General features: G+C 42.0%; 1 protein-coding gene across 2 annotated transcripts in view; it reads right to left on the bottom strand.

The window, feature by feature from the left end:
* The window catches only part of TMC1 (transmembrane channel like 1), a 316,690-nt gene continuing 303,024 nt past the window's right edge, over positions 7,765-21,430 (bottom strand). For both annotated transcript variants that reach the window (NM_138691.3, XM_017014256.2), the window contains 4 exons: positions 19,068-19,193; positions 15,533-15,611; positions 15,380-15,431; positions 7,765-10,111 (listed from right to left, as the gene is read on the bottom strand). In NM_138691.3, coding sequence (NP_619636.2) covers positions 10,089-10,111; positions 15,380-15,431; positions 15,533-15,611; positions 19,068-19,193 — 280 coding nt within the window. In that variant the 3' untranslated portion in view covers positions 7,765-10,088. The remainder of the gene's footprint in view (positions 10,112-15,379; positions 15,432-15,532; positions 15,612-19,067; positions 19,194-21,430) is intronic.

The following is a 21,430-nucleotide window of genomic DNA, read 5'->3' as shown; positions in this document are numbered from 1 at the left end:
TTATTCTATTCGTCATGCTAGTTGTTGCCTAAATACCTTGGGTTTTTTTTTATTATTATTGTGTTATTGTTTTATAGATCCTGTGAGACTTATCCTTTAAGAAAGTCCTGTTTTGGTGTATTTCTAGGATTTGTTTCAAGATTTAGAGCTTCTTTTAGCAGTTCTTGTAGTATTGGCTTGGTAATGGTGAATTCTGTCAGCATTCATTTATCTGGAAAACACTGTATCTTTTCTTCATTTATGAATCTTAGTTTTGCTGGACACAAAATTCTTGTATGGTAAATGTTTTATTTAAGGAGGCTAAAGATGAGACCCCATCTAGCTTGTAGGTGATCCCTTCTTGTAGCTTGTAGGAATCCTTCTCGCTTGCAGGGTTTCTGCTGAGAAATCTGCTGCTAATCCAACAGGTTTTCCTTTATAGGTTAACTGATGCTTTTGCCACACAGCTCTTAAGATTGTTTCCTTCATCTTGACTGTAGAAACCTGATGACTATGTGCCTAGGCAATAATCTTTATGCAAGGAATTTCCTGGGTGTTTTATGAGCTTCTTGTATTTGGATATCTAGATCTCTAGCAAGGCCAGGGAATTTTCCTCAATTATTTTCTCAAATATGTTTTCCAAAGTTTTAGATTTCTCTTCTTCATCGGGAACACCACTTATTCTTAGGTTTAGTCATTTAACATAATCCCAAACTTCTTGGAGGCTTTGTCATTTTTAATCCTTTTTCTTCGTCTTTTGTCACATTGGGTTAATTAAAAAGCCGATCTTTGAGCTCTGAAGTTCTTTCTTCTACTTGCTCAATTCTATTGCTGAGACTTTCCAGTGCATTTTGCATTTCTATAAGTGTGTTTTTCATTTCCAGAAGTTGTGATTGTTTTTTATTTATGCTATCTATTTCACTGGAGATTTTTCCATTCATATCCTGTATTTTTTTTTAATTTCTTTAAGTTGGACTTCACCTTTCCCTGGTGCCTCCTTAATTAGCTTAATAACAGACCTTTTGAATTCTTTTTCTGGCAATTCGGAGATTTCTTCTTGGTTTGGATCCACTGCTGATGAGCTAGAGTGCTCTTTGGGGGATGTTAAAGAACCTTGTTTTGTCATATTATCAAAATTGTTTTTCTTGTTCTTTCTCATTTGAGATTATGTCAGAGGGAAGATCTGGGGCTCTTGGGCTGCTGATCTGATTCTTTTGTCCCACAGGGTGCTCCCTTGATGTGGTGCTCTCCCACTTTCCCTAGGGATGGGCTTACTGAGAGCCAAACTGCAGTGATTGTTATTTCTCTTCTGGGTCTAGCCACCCAGCAGAGCTACTGGGCTCTAGGCTGGTACTGGAGGGTGTCTGCAAAGAGTCCTGTGATGTGATTCATCTTCAGGTTTCTTAGCCATGGATATCAGCACCTGCTGTGGTGGAGGTAGCAGGGGAGTGAAGTGGACTCTGTGGAGGTCCTTAGTTGTGGTTTTGTTTAGTGTGCTGGTTTTGTGTTAGTTGGCCTCTGGCCAGGAGGTGGCATTTTCAAGAGAGCAACAGCTGTGGTAGTATAGGGAGAAAACAAGTTTGCCCTAAGGTGGCCTAGATAAGTATTTGGGTTTCTCAGGCTGTGGGCGGGACCATAGAGCTCCCAAGAGATGATATCCTTTGTCTTTGGCTACCAGCGGGATTAGAGAAAGACCCTCAGGTGGGGACAGGATTAGGTATGTCTGAGCTCAGACTCTCCTTGGGTGAGGCTTGCTGCGGCTGCTGTAGGGGATGGAGGTGTGGTTCCCAGGCCACTGAAGTTATGTTTTCAGGGGGATTATAGCTCCCTCTGCTGTATCATATGGGTCACCAGGGAAGTGGAGGAAAGACAGCAGTGATAGGTCTCACCCAGATCTCATGCAGTTTGAGTGGCCAGTCTCTCTCCCACTGTACCCCACCAATAGCACTGAGTTTATTTTGAGGTAGCTGGTGAGCAAGGCTGAGAATTTGCCCTAGGATACAAGCCTCCCTGGTGAGAATGCAAGCAGGACTTTCAGGTTTCACACCTCCCTGCTTGCTGCAACTTTACTAGTATCTGCACTCCCAGTTCACCCCCTCCCCCAGATTATGTCCGAGGAACTTTGTGTTCAGTCAAAATTGTTACAAAGTGCAGCTGGGAATTTCCTTTTCCCTGTGGTCTTTCCTCAATTTTACTGGCAGTCCTCCCCAGGAGCCCCTGCAAGACAAAGTCAGAAATGGCTTCCCGTGGGACCAAGAGTGCCCACAGGGCTCTTCCCACTGCTTCCTCTACCCCCTGTATTTCACTTGATTTCTAAATTTATCTCATCTCCAAGTAAGGCTAATCCTTCTCCCGTGATCTGGACCTTCAGGTTCTCCAGTATGTGTGTTTGGGGGCGGATGTTACACCTCACACTTTGCGCACTCACAGTTTTTTGGCTGTCTCGCAGAGCCTGCAGAGGGAAGCTGCTTCCTCCAAAGAGTGTGTGGATTTTCTTGGCTTTCCTGGTATGTTCCTGCAGTATTTCTTGGAGCAAAAGTTCACAATGTGAATCTCCACACGCTGTTCTGTTTGTCTGAGTGGGAGCTGCAAGTTAGTCGTGCCTCCTATCTGGCATTTTCCCCTATTGTCCCATGGGCTTTATGTCTGAACCATGATAATAACCTGAAAAACATGACCTTCATGAAAGTGACAATACAAAAATTCAAATCATAATAAAATATCAGTGACACTATCTGTTTTCATTGAGTGAGAGAATAATTTTGGACCAGTTATTTTTAATAAAATCAAAACATAAATATAACTAATACCAAAGATTTCTAAATCAAACAGAAAAAAGTTAATTTCACACGTGGCACTTTGGATTGGTTATCAGATGTAGATGACACTTGATTTTATGCATCATGTGAGATTTGGCTTCCAAATAATGGTTTTAAATATTTTCCTTAACCTTAAAATGTCTTTAAAAGAAACAGAGATAATTCCTATAGAGAGTTTATGTAACCACAAATAAAATAGTATAAAGAGAAAAATTTAGTGACTTCTAAGGCTCATTGCTATGAAATAGGAAACATATTAAGTGGTAGTAAGTAATATAATTGATCCATATGTTGATCAAGCTGCGTTAAAATGTGTATATATTGATTTGAAAGTCTATATTGACCATCAATGCCTTGACACAAAAATGTGTTCTAAAAGGAGTCAAATTTAAAGTTAATCCTTCTATTTTAATGTAAAGTTAATCTTTGCAATTTAATCTTTAAATTAAGTGTACAAAGTAGAATAATTAAAATAATTATGCTATATTAATGTAGAGGAATATTTGATACCTATTAAGATTTCCTGAAGTAATTTTTGTGACATAGGAAAATGTTTAATTAAAAAGTGGGATAAAACTAGATATATCTTATGGTCCACACTTTTTTATTGAGTCTGTGCATATATAATTGCAAATCTAAAACAAAATGTTAACAGACGTTATTTTGAGTGGTGGAAATGTGGGACTTCTACATTTTTATTTTATTAACATTTTCCAAATGTGCTGTCATTAATATATACCATTTTAGGAATGTGAATGTGACTGTTGGTGCTGTAGCAGCCATCTTGCAACAATGAGGAAAAATAAAAAAATTTAAAAATCTGAGAAGCCGTCCCTCTCCCTCTCCCTCTCCCTCTCCCTCTCCCTCTCCCTCTCCCTCTCCCTCTCCGTCTCCCTCTCCCTCTCCCTCTCCCCACGGTCTCCCTCTCATGTGGAGCCGAAGCTGGACTGTACTGCTGCCATCTCGGCTCACTGCAACCTCCCTGCCTGATTCTCCTGCCTCAGCCTGCCGAGTGCCTGCGATTGCAGGCACGCGCCGCCACGCCTGACTGGTTTTGGTGGAGACGGGGTTTTGCTGTGTTGGCCGGGCCGGTCTCCAGCCCCTAGCCGCGAGTGATCCGCCAGCCTTGGCCTCCCGAGGTGCCGGGATTGCAGACGGAGTCTCGTTCACTCGGTGCTCAATGGTGCCCAGGCAGGAGTGCAGTGGCGTGATCTCGGCTCACTACAACCTACACCTCCCAGCCGCCTGCCTTGGCCTCCCAAAGTGCCGAGATTGCAGCCTCTGCCCGGCCGCCACCCCGTCTGGGAAGTGAGGAGTGTCTCTGCCTGGCCGCCCATCGTCTGGGATGTGAGGAGCCCCTCTGCCTGGCTGCCCAGTCTGGAAAGTGAGGAGCGTCTGCGCCCGGCCGCCATCCCATCTAGGAAGTGAGGAGCGCCTCTTCCCAGCCGCCATCACATCTAGGAAGTGAGGAGCGTCTCTGCCCGGCCGCCCACCGTCTGAGATGTGGGGAGCGCCTCTGCCCCGCCGCCCCATCTGGGATGTGAGGAGCGCCTCTGCCCGGCCGAGACCCCGTCTGGGAGGTGAGGAGCGTCTCTGCCCGGCCGCCCCGTCTGAGAAGTGAGGAGACCCTCCGCCCGGCAGCTGCCCCGTCTGAGAAGTGAGGAGCCTCTCCGCCCGGCAGCCACCCCATCTGGGAAGTGAGGAACGTCTCCGCCCGGCAGCCACCCCGTCCGGGAGGGAGGTGGGGGGGTCAGCCCCCCCGCCCGGCCAGCCGTGCCATCCGGGAGGGAGGTTGGGGGGTCAGCCCCCCGCCCGGCCAGCCGCCCCGTCCGGGAGGTGAGGGGTGCCTCTGCCCGGCCGCCCCTACTGGGAAGTGAGGAGCCCCTCAGCCTGGCCAGCCACCCCGTCCGGGAGGGAGATGGGGGGGTCAGCCCCCACACCCGGCCAGCCGCCCCGTCCGGGAGGGAGGTGGGGGGGTCAGCCCCCCGCCTGGCCAGCCGCCCCATCCGGGAGGGAGGTGGGGGGTCAGCCCTCCGCCCGGCCAGCCGCCCCGTCTGGGAGGTGAGGGGCGCCTCTGCCCGGCCGCCCCTACTGGGAAGTGAGGAGCTCCTCTGCCCGGCCAGCCGCCCGGTCCGGGAGGGAGGTGGGGGGTCAGCCCCCTGCCCAGCCAGCCGCCCCGTCCAGGAGGGAGGTGGGGGGGTCAGCCCCCCGCCCGGCCAGCCGCCCCGTCCGGGAGGTGAGGGGCGCCTCTGCCCGGCCGCCCCTACTGGGAAGTGAGGAGCCCCTCTGCCCGGCCAGCCGCCCCGTCCGGGAGGGAGGTGGGGGGGTCAGCCCCCCCGCCCGGCCAGCCGCCCCATCCGGGAGGGAGGTGGGGGGGTCAGCCCCCCGCCCGGCCAGCCGCCCCGTCCGGGAGGGAGGTGGGGGGGTCAGCCCCCCGCCCGGCCAGCCGCCCTGTCCGGGAGGGAGGTGGGGGGGTCAGCCCTCCGCCCGGCCAGCCGCCCCATCTGGGAGGTGAGGGGCGCCTCTGCCCGGCCGCCCCTACTGGGAAGTGAGGAGCCCCTCTGCCCGGCCAGCCGCCCGGTCCGGGAGGGAGGTGGGGAGGTCAGCCCCCCGCCCGGCCAGCCGCCCCGTCCGGGAGGGAGGTGGGGGGGTCAGCCCCCCGCCTGGCCAGCCGCCCCGTCCGGGAGGTGAGGGGCGCCTCTGCCCGGCCGCCCCTACTGGGAAGTGAGGAGCCCCTCTGCCCGGCCAGCCGCCCCGTCCGGGAGGGAGGTGGGGGGGGGGGTCAGCCCCCTGCCCGGCCAGCCGCCCCATCCGGGAGGTGAGGGGTGCCTCTGCCTGGCCGCCCCTACTGGGAAGTGAGGAGCCCCTCTGCCTGGCCAGCCGCCCCGTCCGGGAGGGAGGTGGGGGGGGTCAGCCCCCCCCGCCCGGTCAGCCGCCCCGTCCGGGAGGTGAGGGGCGCCTCTGCCCGGCCGCCCCTACTGGGAAGTGAGGAGCCCCTCTGCCCGGCCAGCCGCCCCGTCCGGGAGGGAGGTGGGGGGGTCAGCCCCCCGCCCGGCCAGCCGCCCGGTCCGGGAGGTGAGGGGTGCCTCTGCCCGGCCGCCCCTACTGGGAAGTGAGGAGCCCCTCTGCCCGGCCACCACCCCGTCTGGGAGGTGTGCCCAACAGCTCATTGAGAACGGGCCAGGATGACAATGGCAGCTTTGTGGAATAGAAAGGCGGGAAAGGTGGGGAAAAGATTGAGAAATCGGATGGTTGCCGTGTCTGTGTAGAAAGAAGTAGACATGGGAGACTTTTCATTTTGTTCTGCACTAAGAAAAATTCTTCTGCCTTGGGATCCTGTTGATCTGTGACCTTACCCCCAACCCTGTGCTCTCTGAAACCTGTGCTGTGTCCACTCAGGGTTAAATGGATTAAGGGCGGTGCAAGATGTGCTTTGTTAAACAGATGCTTGAAGGCAGCATGCTCCTTAAGAGTCATCACCACTCCCTAATCTCAAGTAATCAGGGACACAAACACTGCGGAAGGCCGCAGGGTCCTCTGCCTAGGAAAACCAGAGACCTTTGTTCACTTGTTTATCTGCTGACCTTCCCTCCACTATTGTCCCATGACCCTGCCAAATCCCCCTCTGTGAGAAACACCCAAGAATTATCAATAAAAAAATAAATTAAAAAAAAAAAAATATATATATATACCATTTTATAAATTTTTAAATAACCATAGGATTTGTATGGAAACTTCTTTGTGGTATATATGAAGAAAATGTGTGTAATACAACATCTAACTTGTCAGAAGAGGACAAGCATTTTATGTACACATTTTTTCATTATTCATAACTGCTGAGTCATCAAAATCAGTCCTGGAAAAGGCAACCAGACCATTTGAGGCCAAATAGCCAAAGTGATCTGTTACAAAAGAACTTCAAGAAAAAGATAGCTCATGAAGGGGCTTAAGAATTCCTGATGCCATCATGTAATGGCATTTCCTTCTTACAGGAGTTATATGGGAATGAAGGCTATGACTACAGTTTTGTGGGTTTTTTTTTTTTTTAACATCAACGTTAGGTCTCAAAGTCTCCTCCAAGAATGCGAGTGCATATGTGCACTGAGAGCTGCGAACACATGCAAATCTCATTCTTGAGTCTCTTGTTTTTGAAATCCTGCTTACTTATTCTTTTGGTTATATTTCTGGCTCTCATACTTGTAGAGATCCATCAAGATAGGAAAACATAGCTCAGGTCAAAATTTTGTTAATATAAACCCCTTGATAAAGCTTAAACTATGTGTTCCTCTGAGAAGCCTAAATAAATAATTCAAAGAATGTGTTGAAATGCAGTTCTTTGTTTTTCAAGTGAACGGCAAAGCTCTTTAGATAAGTAAATCTAGTTTTTGCACATATTTCTCGGAGCTTTTTTATTGTTCTCAGAAGGAATAAAAGGCGAAGTCTAGATTTTTGTTTGCTTCTTTACCTTCTAAATTTCTCCAATAGCTTTGATTATTATATATGGAAATGAAGATACAGAAATAAATAATAGCAATCAGATCATCCTAGTGGAAGGCTATTCTCTGAATAGCCATAAAACAGCTTTGGAACTGGTCTTCATGTTTCAGATTCTTGTCCATATAGTAATATGAAAATATTTTCAACAATTCTCTGGAGACCGAAAGGGTTAAAATGTCAAAAGCTGCTTAACTTAAATCAGGTGACTATTTAGGTGCTATAAAAATCCAACATATTTTTTAATTTATGGAAATATTGAAACTCGGCATATCATGTCTGAATGTCTATAACATGAACATTCGTCCTAAAAGTACATTGCCTTTAGGAGATGAATGTCTTTGGGGAACAGTTTGTCATCTTTCATCATCTTTGTGACATAGATCAAGAGAAGGAAGTGCAATCCACATTGTAAATGTGGCAAAACAATAAATCAATTTGCTAATCTTACTACTACACAGTGCAAAAATGATCCAAGTAGAAATAAACACTAGCTTTATTTACTCATCTGCATTATAATCTAATTAAACAATAAACTCAGCCTATCAACAGATAATCCATTTCTTACATCATAGTAAAATGTTTTCATGCAGGTAACAGAAGTTTTTGTCTCATAACACAATTGCTGTAAGTTAAATTGATTCAATTTAATTAGCAAGCATTTATTCAGCGCCTACTTGTGCACAGCACTATACTAGGCATACAAAAGAGTTAGAAGATACAACCCCTGCTCACAGAGAATTTACAATAAGGACAAGAAAGATAATCCATGCATCAAAAAATAATAAGGAACCATTACAAGTCACATGAAAATCAATATAAATAATAGACTCTGAATTACAGACATAAGAGCCCAAGGAATCCTAAAAAGGGAGTGATAAGATTGAGAATGGAAGTCAATCTGAAAAAGACAACCAGAGGAATAAAGTTTAGAACTGGCAGGGAAACAGTGCGATTATTCTATGGCTGCCTTTTGGTGATCAAAAAGAATGAGAAACTCAGAGACAGGATAATAGAAATCAGTAAGTCAACTGCAGGGAATGGCAAGCAAATTGGCTTAGTTTTGGAAAGGCACACTGAGTTAAGCTATGCAATTAAAGTCGCACAACAAGGCTAGTGAGGGCACTGAGTGTTACTACTTAAAGTCAATTCAAACTGTAAATCCATAATAATGCTTAAACATATCTATAAATTAAGGCCCCCAACAGAAGTGTGTTTTCCTGACCTTAACAAAAAAAGCAAAGAAAAAAATTATAGAACATTAGAATCCAAGCTTACAGGATATGATTGTTAGAGTAGGTAGTTAGGCAAACATAAAAACATAAGCAGGGCAAGAGAGGCCCCCCACCACCCATCCCACAGGAATGTCAGGTGACCATTTGGTGATGGTCAGGTGGTGGTTAAACTATCTCTCTAAAATAATAATTAGTGGCAACCAGTGCTAGGGAAAGACAGTCTCCCAATAGATAGAAAACACCTGAGCCGGAGATCTTAGGAGTTGGGCAAGTGGGCTCAAGCATGCCCACTAAGCAAAATGGCAGAGTTTAACTAGTATATGACCTTCCTCCAGGAACGCTGGATGGTAAGGGAAAACGTCACAAGTGAGCAGGCACACAACTTCAGTAACACATTGTACACATAGCTCCTTCCAACTGCCGGCAGGCCACCATCCACACGGACAGCCCATCCGCCAAAAAAATCAAGCGGGGAGAGATGCAAACTCCAGAACCATGCCAGTGTATAGAAACCCAGGTCAAAGCTGAACAGGGCACTTGGAACTCTCAATTTGCCCACTTGGCTCTCTTCCAAGTATATTTTATTTCCTTTTGTTCCTGCTGTAAAACTTTTTAATAAACCTACACTCCTGCTCTAAAACTTGCCTCATTCTCTCCCTCTGCCATAAACCTACTTCTGCCCCTCAGCTGAATTCTTCCCTCCAAGGAGGCAAGAATTGTATCGAGTTTGATGCAGACCTGTATGGATTCACCACTGATAACATGATCATTGGAAGACAAATGAGCAGACTGTGAGAGAACAACAGTCATTTATGATGTCTTTCCTTTTTTTTTTAATTTTATCTCATAAAAAGCTAGGTTGTGTAAGACTCATGTACCTTCTCAAAGTAAGAGATCTTCAAGATCTTCAACTCAGTGCTATCCAGGCCCCAATTCATATAGGATTTTTTTTTCTTCTAAAAACCCTATTTCTTTTCATACTGAATCCAGCACCAAATACAAAGGTTTTAGGAATATATTTGTGGGGCGCGTGGTTGGGGAGACAGGTAGAAAAAAAGAGAAAATAAGGTATTGGTTTCAAAAAGTGAGTTAATGAATGATTACAATGAGTACTTTTTGCAAATATTTCTGAACTTAGAGGAAAAAGGGTGAAATATTTCTGCTCTCAGTTTAAGGAAACTCAGGCAAAAGAAACATATAAAATGAAAGTTCATATGAGCAAATTTTTTTTAATTAACCCACCAACTAAACCAGTAAACTGTATTGCTGGATTACACTCACTTCTAAACTCAATTTGTTAAAAAAAAAAAAAAAGTCACGAAATGGAGCAGGGGAGAGAGTGGCTCTGCAGAAACAGTTTCTGACTTGGAATAAAGTTTAGATTCTTGTTGCTCAGGTAGGACTGATGATGCCTTAATTGGCCAGCATGACCTTGAAAATCCATCAAGGGTAGAACAGGAAAATAGCAGTTCCACAGTGCTTGTTCTCTGGGCGTTCACATATTGCATTACTTTTAAACAGCAAGGCAAAGTGTACCTTTTCTGGGCTCTCAGGATACTTATTACTGGCGACCAGCAGCTGCAGCTGTTCACAAAACAGAAAAAAAAAAAAAAAAAAAACAAGGAGAGAGAGAGAGAAGATGAACAGGAGGCAAATAAAAACGTAGCTTTCAGTGTGCTTAATGGTTCTGAATGAGGTGGCCAGAAATCTGTATTGTCCAAATGTGCTCTACTTTCCCATAATATTTACCATTTTAATGTTCAAAATATTTCCATGTTTCTTAGTTTGCAAAGGCTTCACATATTCTAAACAAGGCAGAATGAATGTACTACTTTTTTGTAACATTTATACATTATTGCTTATGTGATGAATATTTTATATTTTTCCAACAAAAGAGTTCCTCATTTTTCAGTAGATATTCAGTAGGTGTTTACTGGGTGGCCATACACATTATGGAAAAAATATCAGATGAATAGCATGCTATAGCATTATATTATCATTTAAAACAATAAAGATAACAATAAGCCTTAATTAGAATTTAGATCTTATAAGTCAGAATTTTCCATTCTTAAGTACTAATTTGATAATATTAAATTATACAAAAGCACTGCTAGTATATGTGATGTATGTGCTTCAACCACCTCATCTTCTGCAGAGACTAAACAATTCTAATAAATTCTCACTAAGGTAGACTCCATCCCAGACTCTATTTCAAAATAATACCTCAGGTAAGCACTGTGGGATGAACAGAGTGAAGATGGACATAAAACCATTGTTCTCCTAGTGTAGGAAATACAAAGGTTTGCCTAAACTGCGGAGGTAAATACATTGAATTGAACTTTCACCCTTTCACAAACATGACAGTCAAGAAATTTTGAGGGGGTTGGGGAGGAAGATGGAGAAGGTTGCATAAACCTGCAAGGAGGGGGAGAATAGGGGAAGAGACATCAATGACAAAATTTTAGAAGCTGGAAAGCAGACAGATTAATGATAATGACTTATCAATTCTAACAAACTGAAAAGCTAAGCCAGGGGAGGAAAAAGACAGTAAGCAACATAATTTACACATAAAATCTCTGAAACGTTCAGTAATTTGCAGCAACAGGTACCTCTGGAAGTAAGGAACCAATACAAAGAGGATGTTTTAGCTGTTAAGAAGCAGTCAAGCTTGGTGGGGCAAAGGGGTGGGGGTTATTAAAAAACGAAACAGCAGCAGTTAGAGTCTGAGATCGGCTTCACTTGGTACAAATGAATAATTGCTCCCCAACCCCCACTACCTTTAATCTGGCAGAAGACTGGAATAATTTTTTCTAAAAAGAGTAAAACAGAGATGCTTCTGGGTTAGAAGACCACAAGGAGTGCCGCAGTAAAAAGAGGGGGCTAAGTGAGCATTTGTAGGTTGAAAGCTGAGCCCCACCCGTGTTGTTTTTCCCACTCAGGTGCTACAGATTTGCCAGGCAAATCTTTACTCTCTGGGCAGGAGTTCGGAAGTAATTTTTCTGAGGAATCTGATCAGCTTAAGAGGAGAAGCCTAAAAATACTGACATGGGGGTTCAGCGGCAGCCCAGGCAGAGTCCCCCAATGAGGATCTGCCCACAAGCCCCATCCATGTGCTTAAAGCTTCGAAACCCACCTTTGCATCCTACCCTGAAATATGAGCTGAGGGTCACAAAGCAGGGGAATTACCAAGCAGGGGAGAAAGAAGAACAAAACAGCTTAGAGAAAACAGACTATCAAAGGCAAAGAAACATCAAAAAGAGTTATTAATATTCTCATAAAGACAAAACAAGCCATTGCAGCCATTAAACAAAAACAGCATGCTGTTTAAAAAAGAAGAATTAAAGAACAAAACAGCTTGCAGAAACTAAAATTATGATAGCAAAAGTGAAAAGGCCAAGAGAAATGTTAAAATTTAAAGATAAGGAAATGTTCATAGGTAAAGCAAAGAGACAAAGGGAATTTAAGGATGAAAAATAAATTAGAAATTCTACATGAAAAAAAAAAAAACAGAAAATGGATGGAAAGAATTTGTAAACAATTCAAGAAAATTCCCTTCAACCAAAGAGCAAAAGTCCATTGATGAGTACACAAGGAATAAAAATAGATCCATGCAAGATACACCATCATGAAATTCTGAACATGCAGATAAGGAGACCCTAGAACTTTCCAGATTGGAAAACCAAACAGATAATCAAAAATACAAGTTGCTCAAGAAAGACTAAGAATCACAATGGCTTTAAACTACTCAAGAGCAATTGTGGAATCTAAAAGGCATGGGAAACCTCTGAAAAAATACTATTTTGAAGGGATATTATTTCTAATATAATTAGATGAGTATTTTTGACCCCCAAACTATCAGTCAAAAGGGAGAGTAAGAGAAGAACAATTTCAGATAGGCATGGTCTCAGAAAATTTGCCTCTCACATACCCTTTCTTACTGGCAAAATGTGAGCAGACCAAAAGAGAGGAAGTTGGGGAAAATGGAAAACACAGTATCCAAAACAGGATAAAGTGACAGAGATCCTGTTGAATGACAGTGAAGAAAAATGAAAGGATGACAGCTGTATCCCAGACACACACTAGTTGAAATTGGAGAAGTGCAGAAGATTCTGGGAAAGATTTCTCTAAGGAAATGAAATGGACAGATAACCCAATATGTCTGAATATATTGAGAGTATAACTCAATAAATAGCAGAGATTTGGAAATTAAATGCATCACTGAAACATATATAAAAATAAGAAAATGTTTAAAAAGAGAAATTATGAATTATGAATCCTGAGAAAATTTTAAAGTATGCACAAGTATCATAGTTTACTACTTGGCTTAGCTGTGAAGACTGTGTGTCCATAATAATGTATACTGGCCTAACCAAAATAATAATATAACTACATAGGTAGAATGCATAGAAAGACTGGGGCAAGAGTATAAAAATCGTTTAAATATTATCTATTAAAATTATTATATCCATTGTAGTTAATAATTTTAAGAGATAATACTTAAAACTAAAAAGTCAAGAAATTACAACAAAATTAGGTAATTTGGAGATAAATATCTAAAAATCAACTAACAAATTGAAAGTGTTTGTCTTAGGGTATTTGAGTGCAGGGGAGGAGAAGAGAGCAAAACTGGTGTAGGAGGCAGAAGAAGATGCTGTTTTTCATGATAAGCCTTATAGAATTATGAAATTCTAAATGGAACTCTAAATTATGCACACATGTAGTATTGATTTAAAAAATTAAAAATTTCATTAAAAACTAGTCTGATAACTGTACATCACTGTAATCATCTAATTCAGCACCCAGCATTCAACTTTACATTTATGCATGCTAGATAGAGAGAGGGAAAAGAAAAAAGGCTAAGCATAAAGAAGGCAACAAAACCAAGTCTTGAACATTTGTTGTTTGGGGACACCCAGCATCCTTTTCTCCTTCTCTTAGGTAGGTGTGACCTCCCCAGTGCATTTCACATGTGTCAGGAAAACAGACCAATCCCAGCTTCAAGGATGGGTCCTGACTGACTTCAGTAACTTACCATACTCAGACACAGTGACTGGCACAAGGATGGATACATGACCCATATGGGGCCAATCTGAAAGGAGGAGAGGTTGAGGAATTTCTAGGAAAGAAGTTTTACAGTCTAAGGACATGGCATTGGAAGTTGCTGCATCCATTCCTGCTGCCATAAAGGTCAGCCAATGTGAAAGGAGTTTAGCTTCAGAGATTCACAGAGAGGTGGGCTCAGACCTGACTCTGTTCTAAACTTAGGATAAAAAGTGCCCTGAATGCTGGGCACAGTGGTTCATGCTTTTAATCCCAACACTTTGGGAGGCCAAAAAGAGAAGATCACCTGAGCCCAAGACTTTGAGAGCAGCCTGGGCAACTTAGCAAGACCTCACTTCAAAAAAAAAATTAAAAATTATCCAGGCATGGTGGTGTGCGCTGTCCCCACTACTCAGGAGGCTGAGGAGGAAGGATCACTTCAGCCTGGGAAGTTGGAGCTGCAGTGAGCCGAGATCATACCACTGCCCTCCAGCCTGGGCCACAGAGCCAGACCAGGTCTCAAAAAAGAAAAAAAATCCTTTGGGTATATACCCAAAGGATTATAAATCATGCTGCTATAAAGACACATGCACACGTATGTTTATTGCGGCACTATTCACAATAGCAAAGACTTGGAACCAACCCAAATGTCCAACAATGATAGACTGGATTAAGAAAATGTGGCACATATACACCATGGAATACTATGCAGCCATAAAAAATGATGAGTTCATGTCCTTTGTAGGGACATAGATGAAGCTGGAAACCATCATTCTCAGCAAACTATCGCAAGGACAAAAAACCAAACACCGCATGTTCTTACTCATAGGTGGAAATTGAACAATGAGAACACTTGGACACAGGAAGGGGAACATCACATACCGGGGCCTGTCGTGCGGTGGGGGGAGCAGGGAGGGCTAGCATTAGGACATATACCTAATGTAAATGATGAGTTAATGGGTGCAGCACACCAACATGGCACATGTATACATATGTAACTAACCTGCACGTTGTGCACATGTACCCTAGAACTTAAAGTATAATTAAAAAATATATATATATATAGAAAAAAGAAAGTGGCCTGAAGCCATACATACCATTTCCCTGCATTTGTGTGGTCGAATAAATTACTCTTTCTCAATTAAACCAATTTGAGTGTTTTATTACTTACAGTGGGGAAACAGTCCTACTAATGTAAAGAGTTTTAAAGTTAGGAGTAAGGACAAAGTTGGAAAAGATTTTCACTAAAGGTCTTAGGTATCACCTTTCCGTGGGGAACTCAAAGCATATTATTAATTTTGGCAACTAGAAGTTGGCTTTACTCTAATACTTTAAAAAATAAAGAGGTTTTTAAAAAAAGAAAGTTTAATGGATTAGAAAGGGCTTCTGGCAATCAGTGGTGGAAAGCCCAGAGGACCCTCTTGGGATCTTCTTGCCATATCCTTCCATGTATGAAAATAGTCAACATGGGCAGGAGAGCATCTGCATTTGTATCTGCTGTTTGTAGACGACTATATGGGGGATTTCTTCATTTTCTGCGCATTTTCAAGGTCACTTTTAAAAATCACTACTGCCAAGTTTATATGCCCACATTTTCATTTCTCTTTTTTTCCTCCCACTAGAAAACAACCAAATACCCTGGATGTGATGCCTGAGAAGGGCTAAAAAGGTGGAAGGTAAGGATTGTGGAATGACTCGCTCACAGCAATAATGCCACTCACCATCCAATGGAGAAAAAGCAAAAAAAAAAAAAAAAGAAAGAAAAAGAAAAAGAAAAATTACAAACATTACAAACATAAACGTATCTCCAACCTGCTCGTGCAGCTGCCATTTTCTTGTTTCGCATTTTGTTCTCCAAAGCTTGCTACACAATAAAAAATAAGGGGAAAAAAGTAGATTTCTCAGTGTTTTCTACTGCTTGACATTAATAAAGATAATATTTCTATGAAATAAATTGTATCATACCATTTTCATCTTCTTTTTGAGATCCAGATTCGCTGCCTTCTGGCCCTTGGCAGTAGCATTGAGATAATAGATGGCCAAACTAAATTAAAAAGAAAAAAAATACAGTGTAAGGTATATTTCAGTTCCCCAAGATACTTCTTAAATTTACATTAAGTAAATTATGAAATATCAGCATGGGAATGAACATTAAGCTATCTTCTACTCTAAATCTCTTGTCTTATAGATAAAAGCTGAGGTCCAGAGAGGTAAAGAGATACATTCAGGATGACATAGGGATGAAGCTGGGGTGAAGTTGGAAAGTTGGGGCCCAAGGCTCCTGATCCACAGCCTGTTCTGTCTGCTATTTCACACTGCCTAATATTAGCTTTTTCCTGGAAATGTATTCACATAAGTTTAAATTATAATTGAAAGTAGCATTTTAAATGGATGGCAATGGCATCCCAGAGAATGGAAAACCTACTGCAGCTTAGGGAACATGCCGAACAAAAAGGAAAACGACTTTCTGCCTTAAATTTCGTCCTTTGGCCTTTGCAGCTAAGAATGTAATCCTCATAGGCATAGATAATGAACATGGAATTTTTTCCGTAGAATGTATTGTTTGCATTTCTTTCTCCCTCAAAAAGAAAACGTTGTATAAAGGAATATTATTGGATTTTAAATGACATTTACATTCTAGAAAGGGCAAATTCTAGCCAGACAATTCTGTAAAAATAAATATGCTTATCTTCACTTAAGGCAAAACGAACAAACAAACAAAGAAGAAATGCAGTAAAAAAGGTAACTTATATTACTCTTTGCTGCAAATAACTGGATATTGAACACATTTCCTCTACTCCCCAAAATGAAAGACAGTATCCTTTATGAACCATCTGGTGCTAGCAACACAATTATTGATACGGTTTGGCTGAGTTTGTTTATCTCTTACATGAGTGATGGGAGTTTTACTAAAATTACATACATAAATGCATGCAGGGCAATATCTGGCATGAAATAGGTGCTCAATAAATGTTTGTGTGTGTGTGTGTTTGTGTGTGGTGTGTATTATAAGGATTTTCTTAGAAAAGTTCCTGGATTTGGAAGATGAACTCAAAGATTTCACAAGTCCTTTCAAGTTCTGGAATTCTCTATTTATCCACCATGATTTTCTACCTTGTAATGCACGTTAAATAAGTATTCCTCACAAATCTTTTTCTAGTCTCCAAAGGAATGAAACTGCCTGCAGAGAACTAACCTGAACTCTGCTTAGATACCCGAAAGCCATCCAGGTTGATTTAATATAATCCATTGGGGGAAATTCAACATACTAGTACAATTCTCTAATTAAAGGTAATAAAAAGCTAAGCCAATTGTATGGGCCCCAAAAATAGAAGATGAGATCTCAGAATTTGAAAAAATATACTCAGTAATAAGCTAAAATCTGGGTTTTAAATCAGAACCTCAGAGCCACAATCAACCTTTCAGTACATCTATTTGACATTTGCATGGGGCCAGCTTTCCTCCAGGCTGTCCAGATCAAAGCAAACTAGGTCCTGCAGGATGAAGATGACTGCCAGACTGTTTTGTATGGCCCATGAATTAAGAATGGTTTTTCTGTCTTTTAAACGGTTATTATTAGTAATTACTTAATTAAGAGCCTCAATTTTGCCTCTTGGCCTAATTTGCCTCTGGCCCTCGAATTAGGAAAAGTGTGCTGACCCTGGGTCTATACCACCTCGGACAAGTGGCTTTCAGCCCATCTGAAATTCCCACTGATTCTGATCCCTGTTTGGTGCTGCAAGTGAGTGTAGGAAATAAGGAGAAGACATGAGTTTCAGTTCCACTTAGTCACTTGACTTGGGGCAGAATTTCAATGTGTTATTGATAGTATGATTAATGAAGCCAGCTTCTCAAAGCTGTTATGGGAATTAAATGAGTCAGTGTGTAAATAGTACCTGAAACAAAGGCAGTGTGAATTCCTTTTAAACCCTCTTAGGACTGATTACTAAATCTTTGGATTAAGGCATTTGAACAATGCCACTCCTTCACTTAAAAATAAACATGTCTCCTAATCAAGTAAGAATATGGTAACGAAATCTGACATTTACATTGTGTGTGTGTGTGTGTGTGTGTTTTAAACAACACCTCATTCATACCACTAAAGGGCCTTGACTCTCAAAGGCCACAGGATACTGATTAACATGCTCTCAGAAGCCACTGTATCATGGACATGTAGAGAAAGAAAATTGTTTCAAAGGCCATCTGGTGAAACATGCTGCATTCAGTAGGTCATTTTCTAATGCATCTGTGCCAGAGATTTACTATCAGATTCTTAATAGCACCCCATTATCAAGGTTATGTAATATATAATGGTAATCTGATTTACTGTTTAATTATCCCTACAGGTTATTAGCTCTCCCTCACAGAAAGCCTCGCAGTATAAAGAAGTGAGCACTGGATTTACTGTGAAAGGATCTGCTTCAGGTCCTTCTATGACCATTTTACTCTCTCTCTTGTCTAGGGAAAATCACTTTCTTTGTGTAAATCAATTTCTTAGGTTATAAAATTGAAGAAGATAAACCTGCCCTCACTACTTTATGTGGCTTGTGATCACGACAATAACTGGGTCACAATCCCTGCTCATTTACTGCAAACCACTGGGAGTTTTCTCCCTGAGATTTCCTTGTTTTACCTTTATTTAAATGAACCAAATCCTTTGCATCAACTTTGTTCTTAAAGTGTCCCTGGGGCTGTTTAATATTTACCCACTGACTGAGAGTCGTGGCAGCTCCAGACATTCTATGTAGGAGGCACTCAGGGACTGAAAGGAAGAGATGGACGCTGCTTTTGGCTCTTCCACAGCAAATCTGTACTTTTACTTAGAATCTAAGTTTATCTGTGATGGCCAAGAGTCAGAAGCCAATGAAAGTTATGTGAAAACAAAAGTCATCTGACAAGTTCCCCTTTGGAAATCACTTCTGACTTTGAAGGGACAGACTACAGGAACTTCCCAAGATCCTCTGGTCCTCTGATTCTATTATCGTGAACACACAGTTATTGGCGGCCCTCTAACAACAAGGACAGTGAAATTTTTAAGACCCTTGAAGCCCTTGCCCCTAAAATATAGTCTATAGGGCCCCCAAGGGGAATATTAACTTAGAGGATCATTATTTCTGTATATTCATTGCCATCTGCTTTATGGAACGAGAGGTGGAGGCCGGGTTGTTGGGGGGAAGCTCAATGTACTGATTAGATTTAGCATTTAGCATTTATGTTTCCCTTGCTTTAGCTGTTTATGGATAATTATTGTGGTTACTTGGGAACAAATCTTATAATCCTGGGGAAGCAAAGACAGATGCAGATGCCTGTGAATTACATCCAATAGGATCAGAATATGGCTCATGAATTTTAGCCTCTCACCACCATGTAATCAGTGTTGAATTTGGATAGGTTACAGCAGAACCCTTAGGGAGAGTGAGAGAGCTGAAAAAGCTGAAATGTAAAAACAGCCAGGAAGAACATCACAGAGGCTCTTTCTATGAGGAGGAAAAGCACATACACCATCACCAAAATGACAGCAATGACCAGCCCAGGGTTTGAAAGCTGTCTCAAGATCTTCGCCATCCAGCTTGGGAAATCGTGCTCCAGGGTCTCTCCAATGACTTCAAACATTCTATTTTTGCCACTGGGGGAATTAAAAAGGGGGAGATAAGTTTATTAAGAACATATGGAAAAACCATGGTTAAAGCAAGAAAACTGGAAATCTTTCTCAATTACTGCTTAGGTCCTCTTTCAGGGTAGGAATCTGATGTTTAGCTACAACTTGCTGACACTTTGACCTCATGTAGTCAATATATGGGTAAGATACGAGAAATATGATCCCAGTATAAACATATAGTCAAAGCAGTTAGAAAATTAACCACATATTTAGGAGAAGATTTTTAAAAACTGTATTTCTAAGATTTTGATTGAAATATATTTTGTAAATAGCTCATAAGTCTGCCTCTCAGTCAGCTGCTCTTGTAGGAGAACACTCTCTTTGAGCTAAGTATTTTTAATTAGCCTTGGAAATGAGAGCAAGGAATAGCCCAGTGGAATAAAATCCACATATAATCCAATATCTCTTTCCACGCAATAGCTTCCACCTCATTTTCCACCAGACTTCCTTCATCAGATATGTTAATAGGTAAGGTAACCACACCGAATCATGGGTTTTTTCCCTCTCAGTTTCTTCTCCTGGACAGGCCCTAATGAATACCAGCTTAGCTCCACTGCTAAGCTCCATGAAGGCAAGTATCAGCTCCTATAAACTAGAAAACTGAGAACAGGATGTCTTGACTTACTAAGGAATAGCTAGAATTGTACCATAATATTCAAAATATTCATTACATCATTATTTTCTCTGTATATGCATACTGATTGTACTACGAAAAGATGTAATTTTCAGAAGAGATTTGGGTTGGGTTTCACCAAATTGTATGCATCATCAGAATAAATGTTGGTGCAACATTTAATACAATGTTTAGTTTTGCTTTTGTATTTTAATCTTTAAGCATTTTCAACTACTAAATAACAATGACACGCAAGTCCCAGATTATGGTTTTTTTCTCCTGGTCTAACCAATACTATCTTCCAGCAGACATAGTGACTCCATATATTTTGTCAGTAGTCATTGGACTACAGAGGTACAAGTTTTGCTTCACAAATTAAAGATCTACACTCTAATTTTCAAGACTTATGATACATAAGAGGGAATGAAGCTTACAAGCAATATAAGATTATAACTCCCTATTCCAATATGTTTTATTTTTCACCATTCCAAATTGTTCATACCCCCCAATGCAGCCCCAGCCAGATGGAATACAGGATAAGCAGATAAATTAAAAGTACCAAAAAAGATAAGACCATCTATCCTCCCTTCTCCAGCACCTCAGGTCATAGCTGATGAACGTAGTTAGAGTGGGGGCATTCAAATTTTATGAAATTATCCCTACACACAAAGGCCTTCTCAGCATCCAGTGTGACCCAAAGCAAAGTTGCTAAGTCCCTGGGGATTCCTGTGTACCTTTTTCAGGTCAGGTCTTTTACCAAAGAAAGGAGTCCAGATATCTTAATTACGTACAAATTATGGACGCATCTACATGTCCCTGGCAATGCCTTCTCCTGCCAGGTTAGCCAAAGTATGCTATCATACAATATTCTCAGAATTGTTTTCCAGTTGTCTGTGTCTATCCATAGTCCTGCTGTAGGCATAGCGCCACTCTAGATTAGAACAGTTTATGAGGAGGCCTGTCTTCCCAGCTGGGTGATAAGTGCCACAGGACCAGAATCAATGCTTAATGCATGGACTTAACCCTGTGTCTCTTCTAGTGCTTAGTGCACAATAAGCAGTCATTATTCATTCATTCATTCAAATTATTGACCAGCACTTTACTGTGTCCTAGATCCACAGAGAGGAAACTTCTCTATCCCCAATCTCTAGAAGTCAGCTAAACTATTAAGAAAAATAGATGCATAAAGCATGATTGCAAATGACCAATATAATAGCAGTCTCACAATATAATTTTAACTTTTAATACTAAAAAACCTGCACCTAGTATACTGATAGCAACAGGAGGCAGCCAAATGCCTAGGCAGATAGGGGCAGGTACCTGGTGAAATGCCACCTCCAAGCCAAAGACAGTTTAAAGCCTGAAAGCCAAGGTCCAAGTTAAATCCTCAGACCGGATTGAGAACTTGTCTTCCTGTTTGGCGCACTTTCCTCTGATTCATCCCCACCCTTCACCTATTTTACATATACCTACCCTTTCCTAGTTGGGTTTCTATACTGTCGTGTCTACCTTTGAGTGACACCTTCACTTTAGCCTTTTTTGCATACTCACAAACCAGTCAGCACACACTTCCATCCTGTGCCTATAAAGA

The sequence above is a fragment of the Homo sapiens genome, chromosome 9, assembly GCF_000001405.40.
Source record: "Homo sapiens chromosome 9, GRCh38.p14 Primary Assembly".
Lineage (NCBI taxonomy): Eukaryota > Metazoa > Chordata > Mammalia > Primates > Hominidae > Homo > Homo sapiens.
This window is presented reverse-complemented; position numbering and strand designations above follow the sequence as displayed.